The sequence below is a fragment of the Homo sapiens genome, chromosome 1 (genome assembly GCF_000001405.40).
Source record: "Homo sapiens chromosome 1, GRCh38.p14 Primary Assembly".
Lineage (NCBI taxonomy): Eukaryota > Metazoa > Chordata > Mammalia > Primates > Hominidae > Homo > Homo sapiens.
The window spans coordinates 87,898,861-87,908,603 of NC_000001.11; the positions used below are offsets into that span (position 1 = coordinate 87,898,861).

At 37.8% G+C, this 9,743-nt stretch overlaps 1 long non-coding RNA gene across 1 annotated transcript; it reads right to left on the reverse strand.

Annotated features, from left to right (window-relative positions):
• Positions 1-595: 595 nt before the first annotated feature.
• On the reverse strand, positions 596-7,668 carry LINC01773 (long intergenic non-protein coding RNA 1773). The gene is made up of 3 exons (XR_001737677.2): positions 6,580-7,668; positions 5,039-5,217; positions 596-1,381 (listed from the first exon to the last, which is right to left on the reverse strand). It is a non-coding gene; the product is annotated as a long intergenic non-protein coding RNA 1773 (long non-coding RNA).
• Positions 7,669-9,743: the final 2,075 nt, after the last annotated feature.

A 9,743-nucleotide genomic window follows, 5' to 3' on the forward strand; every position in this document is an offset into this window, starting at 1 on the left:
ATAGACCCTCCATTTCCTGTATTTTCTTCAAATTGCCTTGGGTGACAGTTGATCAAGTATTCTGTACTATGTCAAAACTGTTTGTAGAAATGCTCCAGGAAATTGTAAATTTCAAAACATGTAGGCTTGTTGTCTTCAGAGTACAATAGCTAATAAAGTCATGAGGGCACCAAGGGCTTATTTTTATCTTGTGGACTTCCAACTTACAAAAAAACCACACAGTTACACACAAAGCTCCCACAGTCACACATGAGCTCTGGGAATTTGCCAGATCACTGGGATATTTGTTTGTTCAAAAGTTTGAAGATATTTTATTCAAAAAGACTAATTTTAGAATTGTTAATGTGATTGCAAAACAATGCACATGTACAATTGTCTCCTTGCTCGCTGGATGTTTAAGAAATTATTGATAGAATGAATCATCATATAATGTGCCTGGTGTAGCACCTTGCATTAGATGATCTTAATGAATAGTTGCTCAATGAAAGACTACATTAATTCAGACGCTAAACATATGACAATCCTTTTTCCCCTTTAAAACACACAAAATAATTTTTTGGTTAAGGTGGCCAAATGAATCACATTAAATACATGCTTTCAGAATGAACAAGTTTATTCTAACTAATTCTAAAAGAAGTTCTCCTCAACATTCATACACAGAACGTATAAAAGCATATAAAAACCACAAAGAAGAAAGCATACACAGTACTGCCATGTATTTATAAACATCCTACTTTAAGTAGCAATTATTATCTCAAGTTATATATATATAAAAAAGGGAAAGTATGGAGAGTGTTATTAACTCAATATTCATTCATTCATGAGTAAAATTAAGTCATTTGGAAAGCTACATTTTCTTTAATAGTAACAGAAATAGAAAGAGCAGCTATCTATTTTTTTGTTTGTTTGTTTTTGCCTTACTGAAGGCCACTTATTTAACATTATACTTCTATGGAGAATTTCATATACTTACGAAGTTGAATGGCTAGACATTTTGGCAAATCTCTTAACCAGTTCACTCATGCTACTATCTTTATTACAATCTTTATTGCCTTCAAAATAAAGTCCAAAATCCATAGCACAGCATTCAAAACCTTATGAAAATCAGAACTTTGCTTTCCTCTGGTATTAGCTATAGAGCTTTGATTTCAGTCAACTAACACTGTATATGGCTTGCTTAACCAACTACTGAATTTGTTGGGAGGATGACTGACGTGACATGTTGGAAAGGAGGGCGGCAGAACCAGACCCAGTGCTGGGAGGAACCAGGCTGTTTCAGAAGGTCTGAAGGTTTGATGCTGCTTGACTGTTCCTTGCAGGAATACCTCTGGAAACCCAAGGACCTCAGAGATTCTCAGTCTTTTTGTCATTTCTCTTGAATCTAGTCAAGGAGAAAGCAGGGCACCTGATTATTAGTCCACCGAATGGTATTAAATGGGGAGAAGTCACTACTTCCAAATAAAATCAGGTTCATAGCGCCATAAGAAAGTAAAATGAATAGTGACAAATATCATTAATTGTCCATCTCTCCCTTTCAACTTATTTTCTACCCCTCTTTTTTCATTTCTTCAAGCACATAGAAGAACTTGCAATTCCATTAATCCTCCACCATTCCTTTGCGTACACCTTTCTTTCACTCTTCTAAAATGCCCTCCTTTCTTTTTCTAACCTCATGTGGTAGTTCTGACCCAGCCTCCGAGGCTCAGCTTCTTTTTCAACAGCCTTTGCTCCCATCTCTTTCTCCTTCTTCATGCCTCATTTGGGCTGGGTGTCCCTTCTGCCTTTCCCTAGCATTCCCTGTTCACTTCCATATCACCACAGGCAGCATTGTAATTGCTGACTTCTCTATCTCCTCTTCTCAGGCCTGTTACTACATTTGCCTGGAGCTCTCTCCAACCTTCTCTCTCAACCCTTGGCATGGTGAATGTGTGTCCTTGGGAGGGTGAAGTGGGGAAGAGGTGCTTCACAAGCCCAGGAAGTAGGGCTTCCCCACTGGGTGGGGAATTCTGAGTCTCAGGTACCTAGTGTGTGGTCTAGAGGTGGGGGGAGATGGGAAGATAGATTGCTCAAAGTCTGGGTATATATATCTCCTTGGCTCCATGGATTCCTTGCCCCATGGAGAGAATTGCAGTCAGAGAGGGCAGGTAGGGCCTTCTAAAGCTCAGTGCCTAGTGCAGAGACCCTGGTTACCTGATTCCAAGGGCAATGCTATCTCAAATAGGCTGTCAGTTACTCGAAGGGAAACCATGTTTACTTTGTAAAACCAGCAACTCCTGTAGCTTATGCATAGTTAGTGCCCTATATGAATTTGCTGAGGACCAAGTGAATGGGTTCATGAACCTTAGTTTTCTCTCAGAAAAAAGGAGGTTATGCTCCCTACCTGTCCTGTCTACTTTCCATGCTGATATGAGAGGAAGGAAGTAATTGATGCAAGTATGCTTTGAAAAGAATTAAAGCTTTTAAAGATTGTGCCTAACAGCTTCTCAGACAGACTTATGACTTATTTTGCTTGCCCTCCCAGAAAAAGAAACAGCAAAATGTTTTACCAAGTCATTTAGAACAGAGTTTAGATTGTGTGTATATATGCATATGTACATATATATTCATATGTATTGTGAATCCTTGGTACAGAACCTTAAGAATTGGGTTATGATTATGAATAATAATACAAATAGAATCATTACCATTTTCAATCTCTATAATTTATAGTTCACCCTTTCCCTTTAAAAAATGTTAGAAAATCTCTAATAAGGGTCTGCAAGCAAGAAGAATAGAAGCTCACCAACTGGCACAGGACATGAATTATTCCTAAGATACTCAGTTACATACAAGCTAATCATCTTAATATGGCAATTTTTGGCTGAACTTTCTTCTGAGAGTGATTATAACACAGTTTTCTTTTCTTTAAGCTTATTTATATAGGAAAGATTGCCATCTGGGGTGTGAAGTGACCTCACTAAGGTGAAAAATACAAGTAGGATTTACTGCATATTAGTTCTACTCCTGACTGAGCTGTGTTCGTTCATTCATTTAATATTCATCCATTGTGAAACCATGATTGAGCATCTATCTTGTAGAAGTTGTAGAATGTGTGGGGATAAAAGAAGAAATAAGACGTGAGATCTGCCCACAGGAACTTGGAGTCTGGTGAGAAAGACAAAAGTAAGCCATTCAATGCCATAATAGTAAATATAAGTATAAATCCTGATACCGAGATAGACGCCTACTCCACTTTTCTTAGACCCTGAGGACTGCAGAACTTCCAGCATTACAAAGTTGATGATAAAAGAGAAATTGGCCCTTCTATTTTGTTCCTATTATGCTTTATGTTTGCTTGATTTTCTGTTTTATTTTATACTTCTCATTCAGTTTTGTCAACTGATTGATTGAGTAGCTACCATGTCACAAGACAAAGATGATTGTGGCTTATCAAGCTTTAATATCAGCAAGGCTGACACAGTTCTGGAGGACAGGGACAGTGTGTTTAGTTTACTCCACTTGCTGTCAGATGTGTGCCACTCAGACTCATGTCATGAGTGTTACTTGATGAATCAGGCATTGATAATTAGTTCATAATTGTGTATTCAAGATTCCTATGAAATAGCCAAGAACTTGGAACACCATGTGCCTGCTAGGAGAAAAGCACAGTTAACAGAAGCTTTTATCCCCACTCACTTTTATTCCTATCCAGAGCTCACGTAAGTGTCATGGGTTGAAGGAAAAAGTGACGTCTCATTGATTTCTCAAGATGTGATTAAAGTAACATGACTTGTAGGTATATAAAATTTGAGAATTAAAGCCAACAAAAAAATGAGGAATTATAATAGCTTTATAGTGATGAACATTCTTCACAATTGTGTGATGTCATGCTAAGAAAACTCTAGCAAAAGAACCAACGTAATTCCAAACAAGAAACAAATACATAGCCTTAAAAAAAATTATTGGCTCTGACACCCCAACTCTTGACCCTTAATACCTGCAATGATCATGAACCCTGCAGGGCCCCTTGTCACATTGTATATGTAATATTTTCTGAGTTCCTGATACTGGCCTATATTTGTTTAACATCAGTCTGCATTTACTTCCCTCCAGCCAGAGGGATTGCATGCACCAGCTGTTTACACATCTTCAGGAGGAGGAAGGGGAGTGGTTATCTTGCTCTGCACACTGTCTCATGTCAGAAAAGTTTCCAAGTCACTGAGGGATGTGTGAGACCACAGAGTTGAAGGAAAGTTCGGTCTTTAGTATTTCCTTTTCTGTCTTCTTACGTTAAAAGTACTAAACACAGGCTCACCCAGGCTTTCACTTCATGGGCCGACTGCACTGCCTGTGTTTCCTAAAGACGGGGACAGTGGGGCAGTCAATTGTTGAAATGCTAATGACTCCAAAACTTTTCATAACCTCCCCAAGCTGTCTAAAATAACTTAATATGCAACCATTCTTAGGGCTTTTGTTTAGCAGCTTAAAAGATTTCCCAGGTGAACAGAAGGGAGAGGGAGAGAGAGCATACTGATGGCAAAGTAAAGCTGAGGGTAAGATGGAAATTATACAAAGATTACACAATAGTGTAGGGAGGGTAGCACTTAACACTGACCACCTGGATGGCCATTCAGAGTCCTTCATCCACAGTGCACTCCTTAGGACTCTAGTCCATGCACCACATTTTTGTGCCACTGCTGAGAGATAGGTCAATTGTGAAAAGATAGTGCTTTTGTTACTTAGATGGCAGACACAAACTGCATGAATTAAAGCCCTTTAGTTTGAGTTTAGTTTTCATGGTAACTTTGAAAAAGGCAAGATATGTAATACAGACAAAATAATAGAGGTATAAGAAATAGGAGCAAAATGCCTGTGCACCATGCAAGAAGGGCACGGACAGAAGACTGGTTCACCCAGACTCCACTTAGGAAGCCTCAACCATATAGAAGGTCCCGCGCAAGCATGTGCAAACATGGTCATAACCAAAATCTTATGCTTAAGGAGCTTTATAAGCAAGTGCTGACTTACACTAGACATTCACTTTACAAAGGGCACTCACAAATATTGGCTCATGTAATCCTCTCTGTAGCACTGTGAAGTAAAGAGGGCAATAGATTCTTCTGGTTTAAGTAATGTTTCCCAAGGCAATGAGAGTAAAATGTAGTGGAGCCATGTTTGTCTTCAGATTCCAGCTTCTGGGCCCTTTGTACTTATAGTCAGTGACTGAGACATTTACGCCTAAGAAAGGGAACAAATATGTAATTACTGAGCAGACCATAACCAGGGCTGTAATACCCTAGGGATATTGTCTCATTTTTTTTTCACTTTTTCTTTTTTCCCCGTTCATCCATAAATATATTAATATTACTTACATGCCCAAACTGTTGGACAATTAGAAATTCATATTACTTACCCCCATTATATCATCATTGTAGTATTATTAGGAAGGGAAGATTTCTTAAAATGTATCCACGTGCTTACACTTTGCTTTAAGTATTGAAATAATTGGATATGCATTGAACTTCTTAAATTTAGTTATTTATAATAAAAATATAGGACTATAATTGTGAATCTTCAGAAACATGTTGCTGCTGAAAGCAATGGAAATCCAAGGAAAACACACACACAGGAACACACAATCCCATAATGTCTTACTGACATCCTGCAACATTCTTCCATCAGCTATGCACTAAAGATGCAAACTACCAAATAGCAGAGGATAAATCATAGTTCCCTGCCTGTTTTCCATTTGGTATGCCTGTATTCACAACCTTGATAGCAATAAGTAAAGCTTCTGTTTCTTTTTCAAAAATTTTATAGAATGCTCTCATGTCCTTTTCTTCCCCTATTCCTCCTCCCACAATTCAGCTCACTCAGAAAATGCTATAAAGTTTCAAAGAAGAGGTTTGCTCAAAGCAACTACAAATAAAGTGCATGCACATAAATAACTTAGCCTGACTTTTTGTTTAATGTCCAAGATGATTGGGACAGATTGTATCATGAACTACTTTCCCTTTGGCTAATTAAATAGCAGTACCCACTTACCATAAAGCATATTCTTATTAAAACAAGTATCTATAGTCACTCTGCTGGATAAATTACTCCCAAGTAAGTGCCATAAAGCCCATTACATTCCTGCTTTAGGAATGGAGCAGGTCCAAACAGACAATCAAAGGATTTCACTGGGATTATTTTAGATTAGAAAAACTAAGGGAGACATGCGGCACTGACAAGATCGTAAAGGCATAAAGGATAAATTAGTGGTTCCATACAAAACAAAGTGCTCTAGTGTATCACGGTATATCCAAAAGTAAAAACAAATTCCTACTGTATTAACCTTCGCCAGAATGGAAATCTGTTTATGCAGAAATAAAAATGTCATGAACAACTGTTATCTCCTGTGCAAATCAAAATGACTGTTTTGAATAATAATTTTAAAAAATTCTTCCAAATCAACAACTATGGAAAAATATGCCACAGGAAGGAAAATGCCTTCATTTCAAGAAATTTCTTTTTACATTTAATAGAAAAGGTTATGTTATGGTTTATCATATTAATGAGCCATTATTTCATAACCATATTTTCATTGCAATATATTACCTGCTAAGTGATGCCCTTTTTTCCAGCAGAAAAAATTTCAGAGAAGAGATTCTATGGAAGTTTTTCTTGCTGCCAGTTGTTAAATCTTTCAAAAGCTGTCAGCAGCCTCAGAAATCAAGTTCAAAATACCATAGCCAACATGAGCCATAGACATAGGCTAGTCTATTTTTAAACTGTAATACAAAACTGCCAGAGAAATACCTAAACGCAAATGATTATTTAAAACGATATCATCTTATCTAGCTTGTCAATGTAAAGGACAAAGTCAGTGAAGTGAAATTTAACCCACAACGTCTATAAATATCACTAGACATTTGGAGCTAAGTGATTTTTTTCAGGCTAATTTTTCCTTAAACTCATTATGCACTATAGCCTTCATGCTCTAATCCCTCACAGACTCTGCCCAGGCTAGCCACAGGGAATATGGGACACTAAGCATCCAAGGCAGTCAACAGGCTCAATTCCCTACTTTGCCTGAGTTCAGCAAGCCCTTTTCCTTAAGGGCAAATGGATGGCAAAGACATTGGCATCTGCACTGGAAACTTCCGCAGGAGAGGAGCCATACTTGTTTGTACAAATAGCATTCTGGGTTTGCCCTGTGTCTGCAAGCGTTGATTCACCATATTGCTTCTGAAGGAGAAGACTATCCTCGACGTTGCAATCAGAGCCACATCAGCTGGGTCCCTCTCAGGATATTCCACGCTTATGACAGTGAGCTAGTTATCTGATGGAAACAGAGGTGAGACATTTGGGTGTATTTTCCTGCTTAAGCTGCTGCTGCTGTCATATTCTTGATGGTGAAGCCCTGAAGAAACAAGGCAGGTGCTGTCATTTCTTAAGGTACTGACTGCCTTTGCTGTCAGTTCATGGGGATGCTCACCTTTGGCTGCTGCTGATAGATGTTACAGCCCATCATTCATTTCACACAAATTTTTTGAGAGTATAATATGTGACAGCAATGAATTAGGTGCTGTAGACAAAAGGGAACAAGACAGGTGAGGCTCTTACTCTCAAGGAACTTTAAGTCTAGTGAAGGAGACAAACATTGAGTAAGTATTCGAAGAAAGTAGATATTTGGGGTCTATAAAAATGTAGTTTGGGGAAAACTCCTACCACATTTTTCCCTTAAAAATATGATACATATAATATAGAAATATATGCATGTTGCAAAATACATAAATAATACAATACTGTGAAAATTTTCCTTCCTTTTCCCTGTAACTTACACCTTTCCTGTAGGTAACTACTACACTCACATTTGAAAATAATATCCAGACAAGTACCTACCTACATATATGTACACACATATAGGTTTACTTTTCTCTTCTATATAAATGGGATTATGGTATAAATATGATGTAACTGAAAATTGTATCTGAGAACATTTTCTATGTAAATATAGAGACATACCATATTTTGTCATTATTAAGTTCCCATATGTGAACACAACATAATCTACATAACCATTTCCCTTTGATGAGTGTATTTGCTTGGTGACTATAACAAACTAGCACAAATTAGATGCCTTAAAACAACAGAAATATATTCTTTCACAGTTCTGGAGGCCAGAAGTCTCAAATCAGTATTACTGGTCAGAAATCCAGGTGTCAGCAGAGCCATGCTTCCTCCAGAGGCTCTGTGGAAGAAATCATTTCTTGCCTCTTCCAGCTTTTGATGTCTGTCAGCATTCCTCAGCTTGTGGCTACATCAGTCCGGTCTTCAAGGTCAGCATCTTCAAAGATCTATCTGTCCCAGCTTCCCACTGCGTGTGTCAAATCCCCCTTTGCCTTTTTCTTATAGGGATACTTGTGATTACATTTAGGTCCCACTTAGATAATTCAAAGTCATCTCCCCATCTCAAGATCCTGAAATTATTTCTACAACGTCCTTTTTTTTCTCCATAGAAAGTAAAATGCACAGATTCCAGGAATTAGAACCTAATAACTCTGGGGGCCATTGTTTGGCCTACTATAGTGGATGTTTAAGTTGTTTCTATTTTTCAATACAAACAATGCAGCTATAATGATCATTGAACATTTATATTTGTGCACTTGTGTAAATATTTTGGTAAGTGAAATTCCTAAAAGTGAAGTTTCAGAACCAAAGAGTTCATGCAACAAAATATTATTAAATAATGCCAACATACTGTCCAGGAAAAAAAATGTTCCACATCACGGTGTACTCTCCAAAAAACTCGATGCAGAAGCTCATTTTCCTACATTTTTGTCAGCATTACATATTTTATCTTTGTTCTTGTCAACTTGAAAAGTAAAAACTGGCAACATATTGTTGATTGAATTTTCTTCTTATTAACAGGCTTAAAAATCCTTATTTGTAATAGGGTAAACAGCAGGGGAATTAACTGAAGGAAAGATTTAGAATAACTGAGCAAATTGTGCCTCATTCATACCACTTTCTCTGCTATGGAGAGCACAGAGGGCAGTGGCTTTCTGACTGCAGGAAGAAAGAGAACAGCTCACTATGTAATGTATGATCTCTTTAGGGTTTGCGAGCACAGAGTAGGTGTGTAGGGAGGTGTAAGAAGTACAGTGAAGCTTGACACTTTAGTTGACCTTTATAACAGACATGGCAAGGTGGGGGTGGGGTGGGCAGAAGGAGAGCCACATCTGCCCAGCAATTAAACAAGCACATTGAACTCTCCATCCACATGGTAAGTCCTCCTTATTTAGGGAATTGTAGTGGCTTCCTTTGTCTAACACTCCTTGCCTTCTAATCCAAGGCTCATGGCCAACCCTCACTCTTAACGATGAAGGCTACTGGGAAATGGATCTCTACAAATCTAAAAGGAAACTTACACCAGCTACCTATACTAACTAGCGGTAACTCACTTATGAGACTAATCTCACAACCAAGGAAAACTAGAAAGTTGAGGAAAACTAACACATGAAAGAGATGGATCAATGCTGACAAAAAGAAAAAGAAAAATTCATCTTAGTGACAACAGCAATAATACAAAGAAAAGATTTAAAAATTTTAAACAGTTTTCTACTTATAATCCTCAGTTTTCACCACAATGTATCTGCAAATAAATATGAATCAGATAATGCCATAAATTATAGTAGGCCCGATAGAATGGAAAAACATGTAGCTGCTGGAAAGCAAAAGGTGTACCTATCTGTACTGCCATAGAAGAAAGCCTATGA